The following is a 25,679-nucleotide window of genomic DNA, read 5'->3' as shown; positions in this document are numbered from 1 at the left end:
CCTGTGAGAGAATTTCACTCAGCATTAGCCAGGCCAAGATGGCTAATGGTTAAATCTTAAAAGATCTAGGATGAATCTGTGACTATTTGTTCTTTTCAAATCAGTGTCAGTAAGGCCAGCTTCCTGCCCTTGGAGGACGCTGGCAGAGGCTGGGCTCTTGTCCTCTGTGGTAGGACCCTAACTCTGGGTTTCTGTTTACTCAAAGCCACCACAGTCCCTGAGCTCAAGTCCTGCTGCCCGGGCAGCCCTGTCACCAGGGTGGCCCAACGCAGACAGTCTGAGGCTCTCCCTTCCAACTGCACCCCAGCTGCAACTTTAACTTTTTATTCATTACTTTAAAATTATCAAACCATTTTTATTATTTTAAGGTATTTTAAGCTATTTACTAGACCTTTAAAAAGTAATTCATGCACATAATTAAAAAAAAAAAAAAGGAAAGCATCCAAAGGAATGTACAAGGAAAGTTAACCTTCCTTCCAACTACAGACTCCAGAGGAACCACTGTGTGTCCTTCAGGGCAGGCTTTATAGCTATGTCTTTGTTACACCTGTGGAAGCAAGCACTCCTAAGTGAGCTGGTCCCTCTGCAAATTCCCCTGCTCCGTCTCCCGTCATTTCCACCTGCCTTGCTCCATACAGGCCACACTGGCCTCCACATGTCCCCTAAGCAAGCTCAGCGTGTCCCCGCTGTCCCCAAAGCCTTTGTACCTGCTGTTTCTTCTTGGCACCCTGTTTTCCCGGATACTTGCAAAATTTGTTTCTTCACTTCATCTTTGACTCTGTTCAAATGTCACCTCCTAGAGACCTCTGATTATCCTATCTAAAACAGGAGTCCCCATCATTCTCTCCACTGTGCCCTGCATTATTTTTCTTCATAGTACTTATCAAGAGTTCTCATTATAGATCTATGTCTTACATTTGGGTATCATCTGTCCCTTCCATTAAAATGTAAATTTCACAAGCACAGAGATTTTCTCTGTTCCATTCACCATTAAATCTCCGCACCTAGAACTGTGCCTGCCAAATGTATGTAGTAGATGCCCAATAAACACTGTTGAATGGAAGGAGTAAGTGAATGAGTCAATATTTTGCTTTGTGCTTGAAAAAGCTAAACAGCCACATTTGGGCCACACTTCCAGAACACTGCTATCCTGGGATCATTACCCATAGTGATGAACACCAGCATTGCAGAGGCAGCTCCTTTTCACTCTGGGCTCCCAGTAGGATGACCAATATCCTGGTTTGCCCAAGACAGAGTTTTCCTGGAACATGAGATTTTCGGTGTTGAAACAGGGAGAGTCCCTGGAAACCAAGACAATTGGCTACTGCACCCCTTTGCAGCTGTCTTGAGCTCACAACCAGCCTGACTTTGCCTGTTGCAAGGTGTTAGTTGTCTGCCCTAAGTGACACTGCCTTTTTTTTTTTTTTGAGACGAGTCTCACTCTGTCACCCAGGCTGGAGTGTAGTGGCACAATCCTGGTAGTGTAGGGCACAGGGGAGAGAATGATGGGGACTCCTGTTGTAGATAGGATAATCAGAGGTTTCTAGGAGGTGACATTTGAACAGAGGCAAAGATGAAGTGAAGGAACAAATTGTGCAAGTATCCGGGAAAACAGGGTGCCAAGAAGAAACAGCAGGTACAAAGGCTTTGGGGACAGCGGGGACACACTGAACTTGCTTAGGGGACATGTGGAGGCCAGTGTGGCCTGTATGGAGCAAGGCAGGTGGAAATGATGGGAGACGGAGCAGGGGAATTTGCAACCTCCACCTTCCAGGTTCAAGCAATTCTCCTGCCTTAGCCTCACGAGTAGCTGGGATTACAGGCGCACACTACCATGCCCGAATAATTTTTGTATTTTTAGTAGAGACGGGGTTTCACCATGTTGGCCAGGCTGATCTCAAACTACTGACCTCAAGTGATCCGCCCACCTCAGCCTCCCGAAGTGCTGGGATTACAGGCGTAAGCCACCAAGCCTGGCCCTAAGGGACATTTCAAATGATAGTTGCTAGTCAACAAATCTGTCAGTAAATATTTCCTAAGTAACAATTACAACATTTTCCAGAAGCTAGCAAGCAGGGAAACACAACAATAAATAAAATAAACACAGTTCCTGTCCTCGGGAAGCTTACAATTTAACCAAGGGAGACTGACGCGTCAAGACATTATTTGGGGCAGGGCTTGATGCATACGCCTGTAGCTCTAGCTACTCCAGGGGCTGAAGCAGAAGGGTTGCTGGAGCCGTGGAGTTTGAAGTTACAGTGAGTTATGATTACACCACTGCACTCCAGACTTGAGGAACAGAGTAAGAGTGCATCTGTAAAAATAAATAAATTTCAAAAAATTTAAAAAGATACTATTTCAGTATAAACTAAATATACATTCTGACAGGTGACAAGTTTAATTAAAAAAAGAAAAAAGGCAAATACATAATTTAACACCTCTAAATGGCCTTCTCTAAAAATCTCAAGTCAGCAAAATTTTCCTGTTTTGGGTGTAATAGTTTTAGCTGGACCGATCTGAACAAAATTGAATTTTTCCTAAAATAAATGTTGTTGTTATTTTCTGATAAAAATGAAATACAGTAGGTTGAATAATTGCTCCCGACGATATCAAATCCTAATCACTGGAACCTGTGTTACCTTATTTGGAAACGAGTCTTTGCAGATGTGGTTAAATTAAGGATGTCGAGTGGGGACATTATCCTCGATTATCTGGGTGCGTCCTAAATGCAGTCATGGGTATCTATATAGGAGCAGGGCAAAGGGAGATCTGACACAGACAGAAGAAGAAAAGGCAATGTGGCCCTGGAGGCAGAGACAGGAGTGAGGCACCAACAATCCAAGGAACGTCAGCAGCCATCAGAAGCTGGGAGGAGCAAGGAACGGCTTTTCCTCTAGAGCCTCTGGAGAGAGCACGCCCTGCTGAAACCTTAACTTCAGCCCAGTGAAGCCGATTTCAGACTTCTGGCCTCCAGACCTGTGAGGCAATAGGTTTCTGTTGTTTAAGTCATCTAGTTTATGGCAATTAGTTACAGCAGCAACAGGAAACTAATACATGTACTCACAATTAAAGTAGGAAATCTGCAGAAAATAAAAAATCCCCTATTATCACATCACCCAGAAATAACCACTACTAACCTACTTATAGGTGAAGAAAAACAAAAAGCAAAACAAAAAAAAAAGCAGTTTGATCAGGGCCTCCAAGCACCAAACATGAACACTGGCTTTATTTCCTGTTTAGTTACAGATACTGCTTTTTTCCCCATTTAACTTTATATTATGGTGTGTTTGTCTGTTTTTGTGTCACTATAAATGAATACTGTATTAGCCCTTTTTCACATTGCCATAAGAACTACCTGAGACTGGGCAATTTCTGAAGAAAAGAGGTTTAATTGACTCACAGTTCCACAGGCTTAACAGAAAGCATGGCTAGGAGGCCTTGGGAAACATAATCATGGCAGAAGGTGAAGGGGAAGCAAGCTTGCCTTACCACAGCGGAGCAGGAGTGAGAGAGAGAGAGCTAAGGGGGAACCGCCACACACTTTTGAACCATCAGATCTTGTGAGAACTCATTCACTATCATGAGAACAGCATGAGGGAAAACTGCCCCCACGATCCAATCACTCCCACCAGGTCCCTCCCTCAACATGTGGAGATTACAATTCGAGATGAGGTTTGGGTGGGGACAGAGCCAAACCATACTGAATACCTAAGATTGGGTAATTTATATAGAAAAGAGGTTGAATTGGTTCATGGTTCTGCAGGCTGTCCAAGCATGGTTCCAGTATCCGCTTCTGGTGAGGGCCTCAGGAAGCTAACAGTCATGGTGGAAGGCGAAGGGAGAACAGGTGATGCTACGTGGTGAGAGAGTGAGCACGAGAGAGCAAAGTGGGAGGTCCCAAACTCTAAGCAGATCTCACATGAACTAAGCGAGAACTCATTCATCTCCAAGTGGATGATGCTAAGCCATTCATGCCACTCATGAGGGATCAACCCCCATGATCCAGTCACCTCCCACTAGGACCCTACCTCCAACATTAGAGATTACACTTTAACATGAGATTTAGAGGGGACAAGCCTCCAAACCATATCATATGGTCAGTAAACATTTTTCAAAACTGTGACTTTTCATGGCCACACAGTTTTAACAACAATAGATTTATCATTTATTTAAATCATCTCTCACTGTTAGACATGTACTCTCCAAAATGTTGATATTGTATATAATATTGCAATGGACATACTTGTACATCAATTATTTGTGTGCACATCTGATTGTCACCCTAGAATGGAGTCCTAGAAATAGAGTTACTGGATTAAAGAATATGAGCATTTGAGTATTCTTGATAGTAATTTCATATGACTTTCGGGGACGTCCAACCAATTTATACTTCCAACAGAAAACTATAAAAAAGCCAGTCTCAGCTGGGTGCGGTGGCTCACGCCTGTAATCCCAGCACTTTGGGAGGCCGAGGCAGGTGGATCACCTGAGGTCAGGAGTTTGAGACCAGCCTGGTCAACATGGTGAAACCCTGTCTCTACTAAAAATACAAAAATTAGCTGGGCATGGTGGCGGGTGCCTGTAATCCCAGCTACTCAGGAGGCTGAGGCAGGAGAATTGCTTGAACCCGGGTGGGGGAGGCTGCAGTGAGCCGTGATCGCACCACTGCTCTCCAGCCTGGGCGACAGAGCAAGACTCCATCTCAAAAAACAAACAAACAACCAAAAAAGCCAACAACAACAAAAAAAAAAGCCAGTCTCACCATGGGCTTGCCAGTGTGAAATGATAACATTAAAAATTATTTATTTAATGTGCAACTATATTATTCTAATATATTGATACTTTTTAAATAATTCAATTTCTTTTTTTAGGAATTATCTATCAAGGTCCTTCGCTTACTTGTTTATTGAGGTATTATATGTTTTACTTCTTTTTATTGATAGCTTCCTTATAATTAAAGAACATTAATCCCCTGTCATCTTTATTGTAAATAGTTCCTATATTTAGTCATTTGCCTTTTAATTGTGTTAATATATTTTTATAAAGAAAAATAGTTTATATGTAGTTCCATTTTTAAGTTTGTTTTTTGTGACTTTTTTCCTTTGCTTTTATGGTTAGGAAACCCTTCTCCACCCTGAAATCTGCTAAATGGTAAAGATGAAACTTGATTTCCTCATTTTGCAATAGATAGCGAATTTTCCTAGCACTGTTTATGGCATTGTTCCTTCATTACTTTATTTCATATTAAGTTATTTAATACCTGAGCCTTAATTAAGTGTTGTTAACTCTACTTTCAAGTAGTGTGGGAGTTATGAGACAGAACTACATCTTTACCTCCACCTACTAGCTGTACCACCCCAGGCAAGAGTCACCCTGAGCCTCATTTTAATGATCTGTATAACAGAGACAATAAAACCTACCTCATAGGGTTATTTTGAGAATTAAATGAAATAATATTTATAATGAGTTTATCATATAGTAAGCACTCAATTATTGACAGCTATTATCATTATTAGTATTATTAGTCCATTAATATTTTTTCTTATTCTCTCATCATTCCATTAAGATATTCTTCTATGGCTATTACTAAAAAGTCAAAAATAGGCCGGGTGCGGTGGTTCACGCCTGTAATCCCAGCACTTTGGGAGGCCAAGGTGGGTGGATCACCTGAGGTCAGAAGTTCAAGACCAGGCTGGCCAACATGGCGAAACCCCGTCTCTACTAAAAATACAAAAATTAGTGGGCGTGGTGGCGAGCGCCTGTAATCCCAGCTACTCAGGAGACTGAGGCAGGAGAATAGCTTGAACCCGGGAGGCAGAGGTTGAAGTGACCTGAGATCACACCACTGCACTCCAGCCTGGGTGACAAGAGTGAGACTCTGTCTCAAAAAAAAAAAAAAAAAAAAGTCAGAAATAACAGATGCTGGTGAGGTTGGGGAGAAATGAACACTTATACATACACTGTTGGGAGTGTAAATCAATTCAACCGTTGTGGAAAGCAGTGTGGTGATTCCTCAAAGAGCTAAAAACAGAACTATTATTCGACCCAGCAATCCCACTACTGGGTATATATCCAAAGGAACATAAATTGTTCTACCGTAAGACGCATGCACACGTATGTTCATTGCAGTGCTATTCGCAATAGCAAAGACACAGAATCAACCTAAATGCCCATCAATGGCAGATTGGATAAAGAAAATATGGTACATATACACCACGGAATACTATGCAGCCTTAAAAAAGAATAAGATCATGTCCTTTGCAGGAACATGGATGAAGCTGGGGGCCATTATCCTTAGCAAACTAATGCAGGAACAGAAAACCAAATAGTGCAGGTTCTCACTCATAAGTGGGAGCTAAATGATGAGAACACATGGACACAAAGGGAGGAACAACAGACACTGGGGACTACTTGATTGGGAGTAGGCTTAGTACCTGGGTGACAAAATAATCTGTACAACAAACCCCCGTGACACAAGTTTACCTATATAACAAACCTGAACATGTACCCTGAACCTAAAATAAAAGTTAATAAAAGGTATTATTCTACTTTAGCTGTGCAAGTAGGTTTGAGTAAACTATAGGGAGAATGTGTGACAATGTAACAGAGCTATTTCCATACCCGTGAAGGTTTACTTATATTATCTGTGATCAAAGAAATCTATTAAATGATACATTCTCCAACATAGTTAACTTCACTAGATCCTATGTATATAGAGTTAGTTGTCATAACAAAACATCCCTGTTTTTTAGTGTCAAATAAACTGTTTAAATACAATGTCAGATTTCCTTCAAATCTGAAGACAGGTTGACAAGCTGCCTTGGTATTTTTCAGTTGCTGTGAGAAAACACAATGATTAGCAATAACAGGGAACAGGAGAGGGGAGAGATAAATACAGGTTTCATTCTGAGCCTGTAGACAAGGGCTAAGGAGAAATTGTATTTCTAAAGTTTCCAGACAAAGAATTCCTATCTACCCCCAACTATAATAGAATGAGATATTAGTTAAAAGAAATAAGACTGATTCAGTTCATTAACATAATGATATTCCATTCTATCATATTCAAAGATGATAATATGGTACTGATAAGAGGATTACAACTATATTGAAAACAATAAAGTCTTACACACAAATTAAAGCAACAATAAGGTATTATTTTTTGTTGATTCAGGTCAACAAATAATTTAACCAATTGGAAATACCCAGGGTTGGAAAGTCTGCAGGGAAAAGAGCATTCCTTGTCTTTCTGGAGGACAGACTGGTAATTTGTGACAAAATTTTAAACAAGAACTTTCTACTCAGCAAATCTACTTCCATGATTTTTCTCTAAGGATATAAACAAACAAAAAATAGTGTAAAAATATAGGTGAAAAAATGTGTATTATAATGTTTATAAAAGGAACGTCTTGAGAAATGAAAAAGCTAAATATCCATCAGTGGGAGCTTGGTTTCAGAAATCATGGCACATAGAGAGAATGCTGTAAACACAGTGTCTTCCCGTATTTCTTAACACACAAAGATGATCACACTGTTGAATTAAAAGCATCCCCCAAACAGCAATATGTAGTACTGACAAGTGAGTGTGTGTGAGTGTGTGTGTGTTGAGATCTGTTAACATCTATTACTACAGATATAGTTAATATCTGTTCGATCTGTTAACAGCAAATATGCCTGGAGTGTGGAATTTCAGGTGATTTGAGATTTATACTTTCTCCTTTATACATTTCTGTATTACTTTAATTTTTGCAATAAAATTTTATTTTGATTTTGGAAAACAAAACACAAACCACAACAAAAACACTATGGAAAGAATACCCACAACATGTTAACTGTAGTTGTCTTTGGTCTTTAAGGAGACAGATCAATGGTTCCTTTCTACTTTCCTTCATTTTTCATAATGTCTTTTATTAAATAGGATTACTCTTAACCAAATACTTACATATGGTGAAAGTGATTATAATCTGACAGACCCACATGAAGCTCACACCTTTCTTCTTGGTTCCTAGGAAAGACACTTCTGTGGTTCCATGGGTAGGGGATACCATTATTTACAACTTACCCATGCAGATAGGAGGCTTCTTTACCTTCTGCCTTAGATCTAAAGGAGAAGGGCCCCATAACCAATGACAACTCTATGCCAGCTGGTACATGTTGACTTCTCTAGAGGTCAACATTTATGCCCATTTTTTAATGTGCTTTGGACTATTTTTTTCTTTCTTTTCTTTTTTTTTTAAATCTTCATTTCTCCCCCTATTTCTTGATTTTGTTTTTCCTTTTTTAAATTCTTTAAGTATATATAACCAGAAGATGGTTTTGTTGTTGTTGTTGTTGCTTGCTAAAAGCTAATATATTTTTAGTGGGCAAACTTATGAAAGTTAAAGAAACAAGAAAAACTGTCTGAAATCCCATCACTGAAATGAACAGTTGTTAGTCTTTTAGTCTTTTGAACATCTTTCCTTTTATTCCTTTCTTAATATACAGTTGTGCATTTAGTTTTTCTTCAATTAGCATTTGAGTATTTCCCTGTACCACTGAAAACTCCTAAACATATTTTTACAGCCCAAGCCCATTTTTAAGAAATAGCATTCATTTATTCCTGTATCATTTCAAATTGAAGAACCTTTCATATACTCAAAACAAATTTATTACAGGAGCCATGAGAAAGGTTCCCTCCCACTGTTAGTGACTAGATCTGGTCCTTACCCAAAACTGTAACCTCGCCATAGTCTCACTTTCAAACATCCCTCTCTAACTACCATACAGTCCACTGACTTCACTGGGATGATCTACTTTTACACTGTTACTCAACTACCTTGTGCCCTCACTTCTTTTCGTATCTACACTACATTCCATGGTAAATTGTTTCAATGCCCCCAGCACACGCTCTCATCTCCCTCATCCCTCTTTGCCAACTGAACCCCAACCTTGGTTAAACCCAGCCCTCTGCCTACTCTACACCTTCTCCCATGCAGCCAAATGTTCAAGCCATGTTTTTCACGCTATCTCTACAGTCACCCTTTAAGCATTTATTCTTCTTTCTACTTTCCTATGGGTGTGCCCTATTTGGTGACCATACAGCTGCTACTTAGGTGTTTTGCTAATGCCCATCCATCCTCTCCACCAGTCCAACTCACTGCCTATCCTGCTCTCCCTCTTGGCTGTTTTTCTCATATTCTTTTCTCTTCCCAGCTTTCTGACACCTCTTGACATTTGTTTGTTCCCTCTCCCCTCTCTACCCACCCACCTCTTTACCCAACCTACAAAAGAAACACAGAGGGAATGGTCTGATAAAAAGGCTAGCAGTGGGTGTAGCATGAGGAGTCTCAGGTTCCTGTCCTGCCTCTGCTGTGTGACCTTGGGCCAGACACTTTACTTCTGGGGTTCTCAGTTTCCTCCCTATACAATAAGGCACATTCAGTTGAATAAACATGGAGATAATTCAACCCAGCTCTTAAAACAAACAACATGATTCTGAAAATTCAAGAAAGAAAAATTTAGCAAACAATTCCACCACCCTATTTTCCTTACCATATTATCCTACTTCCCTCACCACGCTAAGATAATGTCAACCATCTGGTGAGTGTTATTATTGTTATTTTAGTGCTGAAACTCTTCTTGGCCCATCCATGCATCCCACCCAGTAACCATAATGGAAATCCAAACACTCACCGTGAATTTCTCATAGAGCTCATAAGTCAGGAGGGGGTTGGGCAGCTCCCTAAAGTAGAGCTTGCAAAGCGAGCCCACACAGTGGATGTCCTGGAGGTACACTTCCCTTGTCAGATCTGGACATTGATCTGAGCCAAACTCTTGCCTGAAACAACACAGACGGAGACATAACAATCCCAGGGAGTGTGTGTTCCATGTCAGCAGCTGCTTGGCTGCTTAGGGGTAAAAAGACCCTAAACTGCTGATTCTGACTATATTTTTGACCTTAATTCAAAAAGATCTTCTACTCCAGGCCCTAGGAAGTCACAGGAAGACTTCCACTTCAGGTCTGGATCTTCTTGCAAAATCTGCTGTGATTAGAAGGACATAATGCTCATTTACAAATGGATTACCCGTGGCATCAGGTCTGCAGTCTTGGTTATGAACATTGGGGAAATATCAACATAATTTGCCAAAAAGTCCTATTGAGATTTCAGTTTTTCCAAAATATTGTTCAAAATGAATTTCCCTTTCTTACAGGAGAGACCGAAACTAGGGTAGGTCAGGTTGTTGTCGCTCATCTCCATATATCTGTGTCAACAAACTTGTTTTATCTGAAGACTCAAACCCAAAGCTTGAGAACTTTAATTGACTATCTTTTTTTTTTTTTTTCTTTTTTTTGAGATGGAGTCTCGCTCTGTCACCCAGGCTGGAGTGTAGCAGCACAATCTTGGCTCACTGCAACCTCCGCCTCCCGGGTTCAAGTGATTCTCCTGCCTCAGCCTCTGAGTAGCTGGGACTACAGGCGCCCGCCACCATACCCGGCTAATTTTTTGTATTTTTAGTGCAGATGGGGTTTCACCACGTTAGCCAGGATGGTCTCGATCTCCTGACCTCGTGATCTGACCACCTCGGCCTCCCAAAGTGCTGAGATTACAGGCGTGAGCCACCATGCCCAGCCTAATCGACTATCTTTTTGGTGCTCAACAGAACCTTCTAGGCTGCCTGATGGTGACTCCTACAGGACAGATGAATTCATAAATATCTTCTTAAACAATCTATAGTGGGATGTCTTGGACATCATCCAATTCCAGGCCTGAAAAACATTTAGAAAACATTTCCTAAAAAGGTTACATGAATATACTGCCTCAAATAGTATGTATTAATACTTATAAATTAAAATCTGCTTAAAAATGATAAATTGGAGCTTTAATATAGAAGAGAAGTTAAGCTTTTTGAGAGTATTCACTTAGTCATCCAACTGGTGACAAAGTCAACAGTACTCTCAGAACCAGCATTTTTGAAACAGCTCGCTGCCCATTCTCCTGTTTTCTGGGCCTACCCCCTTAATGAAGGGTAGGGAAATCCCTGATACTTTCAGAACCTGAAAGAAACTGAGTGGGGCTTTGAAAAGAGATCTATGCCATGCTATTTTTTTTTTTTTTTAGATGGAGTTTCACTGTTGTTGCCCAGGCTGGCACAATCTCGGCTCACTGCAACCTCTGCCTCCCAGGTTCAGGCAATTCTTCTGCCTCAGCCTCCCGAGTAGTTGGGATTACAGGCACCCATCACCACACCCGGCTAATTTTTGTATTTTTAGTAGAGACGGAGTTTCATCATGTTGGCCAGGCTTGTCTCGAACTCCTGACCTCAGGTGATCCACCCGTCTCGGCCTCCCAGAGTGCTGGGATTACAGGTGTGAGCCACTGTGCCCGGCCCATGCTATGTTTTAAAAGAGAACTATGCCATGCTATGTTCTCTTGGCATAGTTCTCTTTTAAAAAGAGAATGTTTTTAAGAGAGCAGAACAAGAGCAATCTAGAGCTTATTCATTTATTTAGCCAAAGATTTCTCTTGTCAAGGATAAGGTCAGTGCTGAAATAAAAAATAATTCATTACTACTGAAGTGTCCTTCCGGGATGCTACCTACTGTGTGGTAGGTACTGTGTGGTATATTTCCAACCACTAAGAAGTATTTGCCATTGAAACTCTAATAAATGGAGTACTAGTAAATTAGTGAAATTATGTAAACACATAGATTCATTAAAATCTATGGCTGCAATAAACCAATTATTTTTTTTAACAGCTATGACTTCTCTAGGAAAAAAAAAAGATGCTCTATTTTTTTGGTATAATTTAATTACAATCCAAATCTGGAGGAAAAGGGCAGAAACCAAACAGGAGAAAGAATATGAAAACTGAATTACCTGCACAACTTATTAAATTTTACATATTAGCCTTGTAATAAGAATTTTTTTTGTTTTAAAAGCCTACATTTATAACTAAAGAACATATAATAAATATAGGTAATAATAAAATGTTATAATTAAAATAACATTAAATTATGTTCCTTTTGGTGTTAAGGAACAATATGCAAAATATGTAAATCTATTGTTTAAGTTATGTAAAATTATACATATATACTCTGTTTTCTATATACTCTCTGTATATATATAAAACACACACGTACCTGTGTTTTGTATAAAATGTTTTGCCCTCTTTATTTAATGTGATAGAAATTTCTTCCAAATATTTAGGATAAATACATAGAATTGGAAATAGTTCACCCATCAGTAATTTATTTTTTATTTTTATTATTTTTTATTTTTTTCACCCATCAGTAATTTTTAAAATCCTAGCATCAATTAGAGACATGCACAATCATATAGGCTTCTGATTTCTCAACCAGACAAAACATCAAATTTGAGGGTGTGCCAGCAGAAAAACTGACATGGATCTCTGAACACTAAGTAACAGGAACCTAGTCTAACTGAGCTTTGGGCAGGCCAGCAAATGATAATAAATCACGTTTTCCTTAACTTGTAATTTAAATCATTTGAGTTAAATCAAATTCACCAAAGAAGAATATATCTAGTGCAAGACAAAGAAACAGAATGAAAGCCTTAGGAGCTTTTGTTGGAAAGAATTACATCAGGCTGGAGGGTTTCCTGATTAGATTAAGAACAGTCAGGCATCTGAAAACCACTGCATCTGATCTTCGGTGCTGCCACACTTCCCTCAGTTCCTTTGGGTTTTTAATACTCTGGACACCGATGGACAGAGGCATGGACACAGGAGGAATCATGGGAGAATTCTTTTAGGGCTATTCTTTTAGCTTACCTTAGCCGTTGTATGTTTGAGGTGACTCCTGAAAGCCGATAGATTCCATCCACGATGCCGTGAGTCTCTATAAATTCTGCACAGCTCTTCAAAACGTATGGAACTATGTAAAAGAAAAGAAAAAAACAATTAAGTATTAGATGTAAGTCTGCCTGTCTTTTAAAGATATCCTTTTAAAAATCCAGGTACCTTCAAAGAGATGTAAGTATGGAACTCATATGACTTACAAGTGGAAACAATTTCTTGTAAGTGGTAGGTGATGTTCCTTTCATATTAAAAAAAAATCATAGGGCTTTGCTAAAGAATTGTTTTTTTGTTTTGTTTTGCTTTTGAGACTTGCTCTGTTGCCCAGGCTGGAGTGCAGTGGCGCAATCTTGGCTCACTTCAACCTCCACCTCCTGGGTTCAAGCAATTCTCTTGCCTCAGACTCCCGAGTAGCTGGGATTACAGGCACCCGCCACCACGCCAAGCTAATTTTTGTGTTTTTATTAGAGAACTGGGTTTCGCCATGTTGACCAGGCTGGTCTCCAACACTTGACTTCAGGTGATCCACCCGCCTTGGCCTCCCAAAGAACTGGGATTATAGGTGTGAGCCACTACACCTGGCCAAGAATTGTTTTTTTTAAAGAATTTAAAAAAATATTCAAAAACTTAGATTTTGAGACCAGTGGTGAGCTTGGACATTCCACAACTCGGTCTCTTCATTTCATTGTTCTCCAAGTATGGTCTTCTGACCAGCAGCATCAGCATCTCCTGGGAAGTTGGAAATGCAAATCTTCAGGCCCCACTCCCAACCTATTAACTCAGAAATTTTGGGGTGGGGCCCAGCAATCTGTGCCTTTTAACAACCCTCTGGGTGACTCTGATGCATGCAAAAATTAGAGAGCCACTGCTTTATTCTAAACATGAGGACATCAAGGCACAGGCAAATTTACTTAAGTCACTCATGATTACTTGTTGCTTGTAAAAAATAATTAATACATTGGAAGATGCTTACAATTCCATTTTTTTAGAAGAAAAAATCTTCAACAAATTGAATATACATTGTAAATTCAGTTTAGATTTAAAAAAATTCGAAGGAAAAAAGACTGGAAGAAAATCTGCCAGAATGTCGAAGGTGATTTAAAGGTTAAAGTGATAAAGTGTTTTTTTTTTAAAGGTAAGAACGGCCCCCCCACCTCCATCCCCCCACCCCCAACCATGGATTGAAACCAGTCATTGATTTAATGGACAACATAAAAGGGACCGACAGGGCCTCCTGAGTTCCTGCCTCTCCAGAGGTTCAGTGCCCTGGTAGAAGGGTCTGGCTGTGCTGTTCTCTCCGGGCGGCTGACTTTGAGAGAACCAGCCAGCTCAGTGACCAACAGGGGCAGATACAGGCCTTCTGGATGGTACAGAGAGAGCAGCAGATCACTTGCCACTTTGGTCCCTGGACAGATGCACTTGAGTTCCCCTCTGTGAGAGGGTTGTGAATGGTGGTTTGGGATAGAACAACCTAACCCATCAAACAACCCACTGAAGGCTCTGAGGTCTTCAGTGGCTTCTCGAGGCTGCCACAGTGATGTGGGACCTCCGTGAATTAACACTTGGGCTATTATTGTGCTCACACTTCCAACACATACTCAATCCATTAATGCTGTAGATTACATCAATGCTAATTCATTAATGCTTATTACATATACTCATGCCTACACACAATTCTAAGCTGGACTGGATCTTTATGTGGGTAGACGCAAGGCATTCAGACTCAACATTCTACCTGAATTCCCTATTATGACGTGCTCTAAGCATTCCTTTCCCTTGTGGCCTTCAAGTAACTGTAATTTTAAGTGCTCAATAAAGTTCACCATACTTATTCTGCTGCCTCTCAAAGGCTGTGCATTCCCAGAGCATTCCCCTCCAGCATACATCCATGGTTTGCCCCTCAGGGAATGGACTTGGAATTGGAAACATTGAGGCCAGAGACCATAGAGGTGGAACCACTTCCTAGGAGTGAGCACAGCGTGGGAGTAGGGTGTGATGGGGGGTGCTGTGGGTGTGGGCAGGGGTCCAGAGCCTCTGCCTGTCTTCAACCAGAAGAGCTATGATTTGATCTGTTTTATAAAATAGGGTTCTTGGTGAGATTTTGTTTCCCATGCTCATGCAAATAGATAGATAAATGAAAACAGTTCCAATGATACTTAAAGTCTCCCTCTCTATCTCTCTCTCTCTCAAAATCCCTGTTGTGAACAATGACGGTTGACTCTTTCCCCACCACACCTCACTGTTCGGTAACCTGCCACCACACAGTCTATGGTTGAGAGTGCAGATTCGGATACCAAACTGCTTTTGTAACCTTGGGCAAAATATACAAGGGTTCTGTTTCTTAGTTTCCGTGTGTGTAAAAGGACAATAGTGATACTAATCTTGTAGCTAGGACTGAAATAATACTTACAAATATTTGGCACAGACCCTGGCATATAAGAAGCATTCCACAATGACCAATATTATTTCTACTTGTAACTTATCTATAATATAAATGTATAATCTGATTTTCTTGGTGAAAACACAGCTTGCCTCTTCCCATCCAATGGGCACTTGAGGTAGATGACCAACCTCGTACAGGTCAAAACTCATCTCTACTCCACCCCCCGCCTTTTTTTTTTTTTTTTAGACAGAGTTTCGCTCTTGTCACTCGGGTTGGAGTGCAGTGGTGTGATCTTGGCTCACTGCAACCTTGGCCTCCCAGTTTCAAGTGATTCTCCTGCCTCAGCCTCCCGAGTAGAAGGGATTACAGGTGCCTGCCACCATGCCCAGCTAATTTTTGTATTTTTCATAGAGGTAAGGTTTCACTATGTTCGCCAGGCTAGTCTTGAACTCCTGATCTCCGGTGATCCACCTGCCTCAGCCTCCCAAAGTGCTAGGATTACAGGCGTGAGCCACCTCGCCCAGCCTCATCTCTACTTCTTAGAATGGCTGTTGTGTCTTTCTTTAGCACATTTTTTGATTTGAGAGTAATTTTGCTTCCATGGGATGTCTTTTCTGTGCATGTAGGAATATCTTTGCAGCACAAAGGCAGTAGGATCTAACAGTGTCTGGGTTGTGAGTTAGCAGTCTGGGAGCTGTGCTTGGCCCTCAGGGTGTTCTGCATTTCAAGTCTGTACCACAGTGCATGGCTGCTGTGCTGTGCAGGGCACAAGTGGACTTAAGAACTCGGAACACTCACAAGGAGGACTCAAGCACAAAAGCCTTGGACTCTAAGGACCTTGATAAAGAACACTCCACAAAAGGGGCAGTACAGGGTAACCAACCTGTTCCAGCCCGTTCTCAGATAGGGACCTCCCAGTACCATAGCTCTCAGCTGCAGCACTTCAGGCTCCATTTGTCTCAAAGGTGGGAAAACACATTCTGAGACAGAGCCTCTGCCATAAATTTATTCTGGCTTTGGTACAAAGGCCTTAGAACCTATTGTCCATGGCTTTGTTTAAGTGGGAGGCAATGTTAAAACAACCCAAGGAAAGAGGTCATGGTCCCAATCACTGTGAAGTGTTAGCTTTCCTGGATTTCTCATCTTGGGCTGAGTTGGAAGATGTAGGAATTCTCCATCGTTGTTACTCAGTAATGGGAAAGGACTCAATCTCTGTGTAATCATCCAGCTCTAGACATTAGAGCAGCGGTTCTCAGACTGTGGTCCCTGGATCAAGTCCTGCAGCCCGGCATCCTCCGGATGATTCTGATGTACTCGAAAGTTGAAGGACCGCTGGGCACAGTGGCTCACGCCTGTAATCCCAGCACTTTGGGAGGCCAAGGTGGGTGGATCACTTGAGGTCAGGAGTTTGAGACCAGCCTGACCAACACTGTGAAATCCCATCTCTACTAAAAATGCAAAAATTTGCCAGGTGTGGTGGCGGGTGCCTGTACTCCCAGCTACTTGGGAGCCTGAGGCAGGAGAATCACTTGAACCTGGGAGGCAGAGGTTGCAGTGAGCCAAGATTGCACCACTGAACTCCAGACTGGGCGACAAAGCTAGACTCTGACTCTGTCTTAAAAAAAAAAAAAAAAAAAGGAATGTTGAAGAACCACTAGTCTAGACCAGGGCTTCTCACATACCTTAATGTGCATAAAATCACCTGGGGATTTCACTGATATGCATATTGCAATTCAGTAGGGAGGCAGGTGGTAGGAGTGTTGAGAATTTGCCTTTCTAACAAATTCCAGGTCATGCAGGTACTGCTAATCTGCAGCTCACACTCAGAATAGCAAGGGTCTGAAAATAGCCCTGGAGGGTAGTGTTGCAGTGGCTATTGTTAAGTCTCAAAGTCTCAGAATTCTTTAAACTATTGTCCCAGGGGTCCTATCAGATTGGGGACACCCTAGGATTCTGGACAGGGTAGAAGCTTGATCAAAATAGCTGAGTAGTTATAGACAGAAAGAAAGCTTCTATTGTCGATTTAGGCATGGGAAGGACTGACGCTGGAGGTCAGAGTCACAGAGCTCATTCTGTGGGATTCATCCTGGGCCCATAGAACTCTGAGTCTCCTCCTACAGAGGTACACATAGTTGCTGCTGATGACATAATATCATAGCTTCTTAGAATCATTTCACTTATGGCCCTCTAACTCCCTTGTTTTGTTTTGTTTTTCCTAGATCAGTTATCTTAAATGTTAAATTTTAATCTGAGCACAAAATACAACTTGAAGAGGTTTCTGAGGGAAAAGAAAATCTTGCCTTTGATTTATGCTTTACAGTTCATAAAATATTATACAGTCCTTTGTTTTATTTATTTCCTACTAACAGATATTTTACACTTATAAATAACATGGCATGTTTTCCTCATGTCCTAACCTCTTGAAGGGTTTAATGCAGAAAAGGCCAGAAGTCAAACATTTCTCGAAGTCACCCCCAGAAGTCATAACACTGCTAAGCTGCCTCAGTTCCCTGTGTGCCTGGGACCTGATCAGACCTGGAGACAGAGATTGAAAGAAGCACAGTTGTATTTGGTCATTTACGTGGTTGTGGTGGCCACATTCTTTCATAGTGCAAATGGCATTTGTGTTTTAGGGAAACAGGCACTCCCCCATCTCCATTCTGGATTTTGTTAAGGTCTTGACTTGGTCAGATTTCGTCCCCTCTCTGGATCCTGCATTCCTGACCTTCAAAGTAAAGTCTAGTGGTGTGTACACACAATATAATATACTCGGCAACAACAAGGAGTGATAAAGCCTGTGAGTGCAGCTCAAAGACACTCGGCTGGGTGATAGAAGCCAGACTATGAAAGACTACATAGGGTAGGATTCCATTTATGTAAAACTGTAGAAAATGCAAACTAACTTGTAGGAAGAGAAAGCAGGGAAGAGGCAGGAGGGAGGAATGACAAAGGAGCCGGAGGAAACATTTGGGCGTGATGGATATGTTCATCATCTTGTTTGAGGTAATAAAAAGGACCAAGAGCTGCCGGTGGGCAAAGAATAATGATACTTGAGGGAAGAGGGTAAGATAATGAGGGAGACAAGACACTGCACAGGAAGAAATCCTGTAAGCATCTGTTGCGATGCACACGGGAGAGAGGGGGGATTTTTAAACAATTTTGCTGTGCTGTGAATGGGCCCCCTCTTCAGCATTTTCCCAAGAGACGCAGTAAAGATTTACATTACTTCCTCATTTCTCTGGGTTGTGAGTACAGAACTTCCTAGGCGTTTCCCCCCCAGAATCCAAGAGCTCTCTCTGCCAGCCTCTGTTCTTTGTTCCTGTCCCATCCTTTCCCCATCCCTGTTCCACTCCTCTGTCCCATGCTCCTCCCTGGCCTCTGCGAGGCTCTCCCTGCCTGGAGGTCACTGCCCACCCCAATTTTCCCTCTGAGTCTCCTTCCTCCTCCCTGTTTTAACTTCTTTCTACTCTTTTCTTCCTGGCTTCATGTGGAATTAAATAAATGTTGAAAAGTTGTGGTATTTATTTAACAAAGTATAATGTGTTCTGTTCTTTAAAAAAAAAAACAAATGAACCACTTTCTAATTTTCTAAGAAAAAAAATTTAAAAATATGTTGAGGCTTTGGCTTGTCCTCCTTGGAGAAAAGTTTCCTTTTAAGCATTTTATTTTTTCTTTTTAAACCTGAGATATAGGCCAGTCACAGTGGCTCAGGCTGCCTATAATCCCAGCACTTTGGGAGGCCAAGGCAGGTGGATCACCTGAGGTCAGGAGTTCAAGACCAGCCTACCCAATACAGTGAAACCTCGTCTCTACTAAAACTACAAAAACTAGCCGGGCATGGTGGTGCACGCCTATAATCCCAGCTACTCAGGAGGCTGAGGCAGGAGAATCGCTTGAACCTGGGAATCAGAGGTTGCAGTGAGCTGAGATCAAACCATTGCACTCTAGCCTGGGTGACAGAGTGAGTGAGACTCTGTCTCAAAAAAAAAAAAAAGTTAAAAACAAAAAAACTGAAATATAATTAAAATACCATATAATTCACCCTTTAAAGTGTACGACTAAGTGATTTTTAGTGTATTCACAAGTTAAGCAATCATCACATTAATTCCAGAACATTTTCATCTCTCAAGAAAGGAACCCATATCCATTAGTAGTTACTGCCCATTTCCCCTTCTCCCAGCTCCAACAGCCACTAATCAACGTTCTATTTTCTATGGGTTTGCCCGTTTTGGACATTTCCTATAAATGAGATCTTAAAATATGTGGCCTTTGTGACGGACTTCTTTTATTTAGCATAGTGTTTTCAAGGTCCGTCCATGTTGTAGCATGTGTCAGTATTTCATTCATTTTTATGGCTGAATAAAATTCCAAATAAAGCCTTCATTTTGTTTATTCATTCACCAGTTGATAGAAATTTGAGTTATTTCCACTTTTTGCTATTAGGAATATTGTTGCTATGAACCTTTACGTACAAGTTTTTGTATGGATATATGTTTTCAATTCTCTTGGATATATATCCAAGGGGTGAAATGGCTAGGTCGTATGGTGACTCTACATTTAACTTTTGAGGCACTGCCAAACTGTTTTCCACAATAGTTGTGCCATTTTACATTCCCACCAGCAATGGATGAGGGTTCCAATTTTCCATATCCTTGTCAAGACTTGTTGTCTATCTTTTTTATTGTCATCCTAGTAGTTGTGAAGTGGTATCATTGCAGTTTGGTTTGCATTTCCCTGATAACAATGTAGAACATCTTTTCTTGTGCTTACTGGCCGTTTGTATATCTCTTTTGAAGAAATGTCTATTTGGATAATTTGTCCATTTTTAGTTGGGTGGTCTTTGCTGGGTTATGATTTCTTTATATATTCTGAATACTAGACTCTTATTAGACCTATGATTGGCAAATATTTTCTCCTATGCTGTGGGTGGTCTTTTCACTTTCTTGATGGTGTTCTTTGAAGCACAGAAGTTTTACATTTCAGTGAAGTCCAATTTATCTATGTTTTTCTTTTGTTGCTTGTGCTTTTTGTATCAGGAGAAAAGCTTCTTATTTCTGATTTATATTGTCCACATCCTTCATCATTGGTTATTGGAATAATGGTTCATCATTATGCACATGCATAAAGAGTGATGTTATAAGTAATGCAACTGTTTCTTATTGTTATAGATGAGAACATATAAATCCAAAGCAGCACTATCCTTTGAGAAACTAGACCATTATCTGGCTCAGAACATTTTTGAAACCACCCTTTGGGAACGGTTAGTTAGAAACTATATACATTTAACTCAAGTATAACCTCCTTCCAGGAGAAAAAGAGGAAAAAAAGAGTGAGAAGTGTTTATACTGTACTTCTCATTTTCCCTACAGGATTCAAAGCGATTGTTTTATTATTATTTCACTTTCGAATTTGTTTTGGGTAGAATGGGCTTTAGTTCTGTTTTCTCTTTAGTTCCTACAGACAGGGAATATATTTTATCTTTTAAAAACTGAGATTTGATTTAGAGGGAGGCCTAGGAGGTTTTCCACAATCTGGCCACACTCCCCCCTGCCAGTCTCATCACCGATTGCTGAGCTTTCCCTCCCTCTCAGCCCCACACAGGAATGCGGTGTTCCAGCCACGCTGGACAGCCTGCCACTTCCTGAATATGCTCTGCACCTTCACACCTTCCTGGCTTTGCACCCGATACTCCCTCGTCTGAGCCCATTGCCTCTTCTCCACTGAGAAACTCCTCCTGCTTATCTTTTGGGATTCAGCTCAAGCCTCAACTTCTCTATAAAGCCTTCCTCAGGCAGAACTAGGTTCTCCTTCCTCCGTGTTCTTATCTCTCCTGTGCCTCCTCCCTTTGTGGCACTTTCTAGAATTATCTAAATTCAATTCCACTGCAAATTAAAACTGCACTGATATATCATTTTTCACTTCTCAGATTGGCAAAGGTACCTAAGTTTGTTAACACACAGTGTTGGCAAGGCTATGGGAAAACAAGTACTCTCATGCACTGCAACTGGCAGGGGAGATTGATACAACCTCTGGAGGGCAATTTGACAATATCTGTTAAAATTATAAGTGCACATAGCTTTTGACCCAGTCATTCTTCTTCTAGAAATTTATCCCACAGATATTCTTGTACATGTGACATGTAAGGTATGTGCAAGGCTATTCATTACAACAGTTTTCATAATTGCACAAGATTGTCATCAACAGCAGGTTGCTAACATAAATAATGGAAGATTCACATAGTGGAATACTATGTGGTCACTAAAAAGAATGAGAAAACTTTTATGTACAGACATAGAGTGGTCTCAGATATATTGTTAGGCAGACCAGAATAATGGTATGCTAGCATCTGGTTGTTTTTTCTTTTTTTTTCTTTTTTTTTTTGAGACAGAGTCTTACTCTGTCACCCAGGCTGGGGTGCAGTAGCACAATCTCAGCTCACTGCAACCTCTGCCTCCTGGGTTCAAGTGATTCTCCTGCCTTAGCCTCCTGAGTAGCTGGGATTACAGGTGTGTGCCACCACACCTGGCTAATTTTTGTATTTTTAGTGGAGACTGGGTTTCACTATGTTGGCCAGGCTGGTCTTGAACTCCCGACCTCAGGTGATCTACCTGCCTCGGCCTCCCAAAGTGCTGGGATTATAGGTGTGAGCCACCGTGCCCAGCCATGGTTTTTTTTGTTGTTGTTGTTAAGAGAGAATGAAAGATTAAATATGCACATCTATTTATATATGCATTCAATATCTATGGAAGAATACATAAGAAAGCAATAATTTTAGTTGTCTACAGGAAAGAAACTGGAAGCTGGGGCTAGCCCTTTGAGTAAGAGAGAGACTTCTCACTGTATATTCTTTTGTACTTTTGAATTTTGAACTATAGGAATATATTACCTTTTCTGAAGAAAATTGTCGAATAAATTTAATCCTGCAGATATTTACTGCAAGCCTACTCTGTGTCTAGCACCAAGTGTGAGGTGTTGCTTGTTTCTGATTCATCTCCATTACTAAGTTGTGAGCTCCTTGGGGACAATGAGGACAGTCCCGTGTCTTATTCATCTAGAATAGCCTTGAAAACAGAAGTACTCTCTATTCACAATAGCAAAGACTTGGAACCAATCCAAATGTCCATCAGTGATAGACTGGATTAAGAAAATGTGGCACATATACACCATGGAATACTATGCAGCCATAAAAAAGGATGAGTTCATGTCCTTTGTAGGGACATGGATGAAGCTGGAAACCATCATTCTGAGCAAACTATCGCAAAGACAGAAAACCAAACACCACATGTTCTCATTCATAGGTCGGAATTGAACAATGAGAACACTTGGACACAGGGTGGGGAACATCACACACCGGGGCCTGTCGTGAGATGGGGGGATAGGGGAGGGATAGCATTAGAGATATACCTAATGCAAATGACGAGTTAATGAGTGCAGCACACCAACATGGCACATGTATACCTATGTAACAAACCTGCACGTTGTGCACATGTACCCTAAAACTTAAAGTATAATAAAAAAAAAGAAATTAAAAAAAAAAAAAAGAAAACAGAAGCACTCAAAATGTTTTCCTGAACAGGAGCTTGGTCATTTTTCTCCAGATGGATTTTCTGGGCTCCTTTGCTATCTGGATTCCTCAAAGAAAATAGTTACTAAGTGTCAAGCATGGCTTTAGGTGGGTTTTTATTTGTTTGTTTGTTTTATAGCATTCTCCATTCTATAACTGTAGACAACCCATGAAACAGACAAAATGATCTCCATTTTGAAAATAGGAAAGTTGATTCTCAGAGAGAATAGATAAATTGCCCAATGGCCTGGAGCTAGGAAGTGCCAGAGTTGGGATCCAAACCCAGGTGTGTGTGCTGCCAAAGCCCATGCTTTTTCTGTGATACCACAAGTGATGAAGAATAGAAAAAGCCCCAAGCTACACCTACCATGGTTCAAACACTCCCCAACAGGAAGGCAGGTCCTATAGTGGCAACTTTGGAGGTGTGATTTGAGGAGAGTGGATTGGCTCCTTGCCGTTGACTGCCAAAATGCCTGAAATCCTACCACTACAGGTCTGATCTTTAAGTGTTCAACAGCTCATGGTTAATATCTATTTTTAAGTTCCTTTTGAAAAAAAAATAGCAAAAAAGTTTGAAAAATTAAAATTATATATAAATATAGAGTACAGAATGTCTCTTTAAAAACTACCTCTTCCCCAGTATATTAAATAATAAAAAATGACACACAATGGCAGGTGGATCACCTGAGGTCAGGAGTTCAAGACCAGCCTGACCAACATGGTGAAACTCCATCTCTGCTAAAAAATACAAAAAAAAAAAAAAAAAAAATTAGCCCGGCATGGTGGCGGGTGCCTGTAATACCAGCTACTCGGGAGGCTGAGGCAGGAGAATCACTTGAACCCAGGAGGCAGGCGGAGGTTGCAGTGAGCTGAGATGGCACCACTGCACTTTAGCCTGGGCAACAAGGGCGAAACTCTGCCTCACACACACACATAAAAACCACACACACACACACACACACACACACACAAACCACACACACACACTGAAATGTTAATAGTAGTTACTGCTAAGTGGTAGAAAATCAATGATTTTTGCTTTTCTCTATTTTTAATTTTGCTTTTCTAAATTTTCTGTGAAGGGGATATAGTAAAAGCATTTTTTTTAAAAGAAAGAAATGGGATTTTACAAAACAAGTTTCATTTAGGAAGATGGAGGGGCTTCTGAAATCAGTGACCCAAGTTCTAAATGTTTGCTGAAGTCCTTTCCAGTGACCCTGTTGAGGTTATTACCCCTTGTGAAGCAGAAATATTTGCCCAACCTGCTGGCCTGGGATGGCTGAGGACTAGCTCTGCTATCCTGCTGAGCAAGGCAGCCTGGAGCCCGGTTCCCCGGGTGGGGGTCCCTGCCCTCCTCATTTTTAGGCTCTCAGATGCCAAGCCAAACCAGCACTTTCCTGCAGAGGTGTCCAGGTCCTCCTCTGGTCCACTCTGTGACTTATCCCTGCCGGGGCCCTCAGGTCTCTGCTGTCAATGCTGTCTCTTTCCCAATGACAGCGATTCTCCTTCTACCAAAGCAGATGCACTGAGGGCCCATCTAGAGGAACAAAAGGTAATAAGATCTTTGCCTTCAAGAAGCCAAGAAGGGAATGGGTAATTATTGTGAAACTAGTATGCAGTGGTCCCTGAGCTACACACTTTTTTTTTTTTTTTTTTTTTTGAGATGGAGTCTTGCTCTGTCACCCAGGCTGGAGTGCAGTGGTGCAATCTTGGCTCACTGCAACCTCCGTCCTTCCAGGTTTAAGCAATTCTCTGCCTCAGCCTCTGGAGCAGCTGGGATTACAGGCCCATACCACCATGTATTTTTAGTAGAGACAGGGTTTCACCATCTTGGCCAGGCTGGTCTTGAACTCCTGATCTCGTGATCCACCCGCCTTGGCCTCCCAAAGTGCTGGGCTTACAGGCGTGAGCCACCGTGCCCAGCCTAGCTATACACTTCTTATCCATTATTTGTACCCAGTGCAATCCTCACAGTCACCTTATGAGGGAGGTATTTATCTCTGTTTTGTAAATGAAGAAACTGAAGCTCAGAGGTATTACGTCACTTGGCCAGTATGAACATATCAAACAAAATATGCTAAGGGCCCTAGACAGGCACAAAAATTGTAACAAAAGTTCTTTTAAAAAGATTACAGCTGGTGGGGAAGTCAGGCAGAGCTTTTAGATGTTGAACAAGAACAGGAAATTGTGTGCGTTTTTAGAGAGCCAGCTGTCTTGAGAGGGACCACGTTGGGGAGTGCTGAGACAGGACCCTCATGCTCAGGGGCTCACAGTGTTGTGAGCTAAGTGGATAAACAACCAGTCAAGGTGCTGCAATAAGAACTCTGACACTGGTGCAGAGGAATGATTTGATATGATGTGAGATGCTATCATATGATGTAATTGACGTGACGCAATATACATTACAATACATGCAGACCGCTCATCTAAGTGCCTAGCATATAATAAGTACTTAGTAAATGTCATACACTTTCTTTTGGGGCAGGAAACAGAGAATAGTATAAACAAGGTGAAAGGCAAGAAATAATGTGGTGAATTCCAGGAATGCTGACTAGACCAGTCCAGTGGAAGAGAAACATTAGGGAACTTGGGGGCATTTTTACTGACTGTCTGGGAAGATTGCATTCTATCTTGATCTCTACTTCCAGATAAATCTTTCTAAAACACTACCTTGATGATAAAGCTCCCCTACACCAAAACAATCAATAGCTTCCCATTGCCTGTAGAATAATGTCCAATACTGGCAGCTTTGGGACTAGACCTTCAGCTTCCTCATCAGGGCCAACCCTGAAGTTCTTCCCTTCAAAGAAATAGGCTTTTGTGTGTGTGTGTGTGTGGGAAGAGGGAGGGGAGGTAATCTAGAAGAAAAGACTTGCCACAAAAAGAAAAAAATAAGGAGTCCCTTTAGGGTCAGAAGGGACAACCTCTCGTGGTTCGTCAA

At 41.2% G+C, this 25,679-nt stretch overlaps 1 protein-coding gene across 2 annotated transcripts in view, besides 1 other annotated feature; it reads right to left on the bottom strand.

Annotated features, from left to right (window-relative positions):
- ARHGAP31 (Rho GTPase activating protein 31) overlaps window positions 1-25,679 on the bottom strand; it is a 126,332-nt gene that overhangs the window by 42,529 nt on the left and 58,124 nt on the right. For both annotated transcript variants that reach the window (NM_020754.4, XM_006713714.4), the window contains exons 2-3: window positions 12,768-12,870; window positions 9,670-9,814 (exon numbers count right to left, since the gene is read on the bottom strand). In NM_020754.4, coding sequence (NP_065805.2) covers window positions 9,670-9,814; window positions 12,768-12,870 — 248 coding nt within the window. The remainder of the gene's footprint in view (window positions 1-9,669; window positions 9,815-12,767; window positions 12,871-25,679) is intronic.
- Window positions 16,663-17,334: an enhancer, noted in NCBI's record as "NANOG-H3K27ac hESC enhancer chr3:119079699-119080370 (GRCh37/hg19 assembly coordinates)". NCBI's record gives its function as "activates a minimal SCP1, AML or CMV promoter by ChIP-STARR-seq in naive H9 embryonic stem cells {active_cell/tissue: H9 hESC(naive)}" and the evidence as "EXISTENCE:reporter gene assay evidence [ECO:0000049][PMID:30033119]".

Source organism: Homo sapiens, chromosome 3 (assembly GCF_000001405.40).
Source record: "Homo sapiens chromosome 3, GRCh38.p14 Primary Assembly".
NCBI classification, from domain to species: Eukaryota; Metazoa; Chordata; class Mammalia; order Primates; family Hominidae; genus Homo; species Homo sapiens.
Note: the sequence above shows the minus strand (reverse complement) of the source record. Positions and strands in the feature narration are given on the sequence as shown.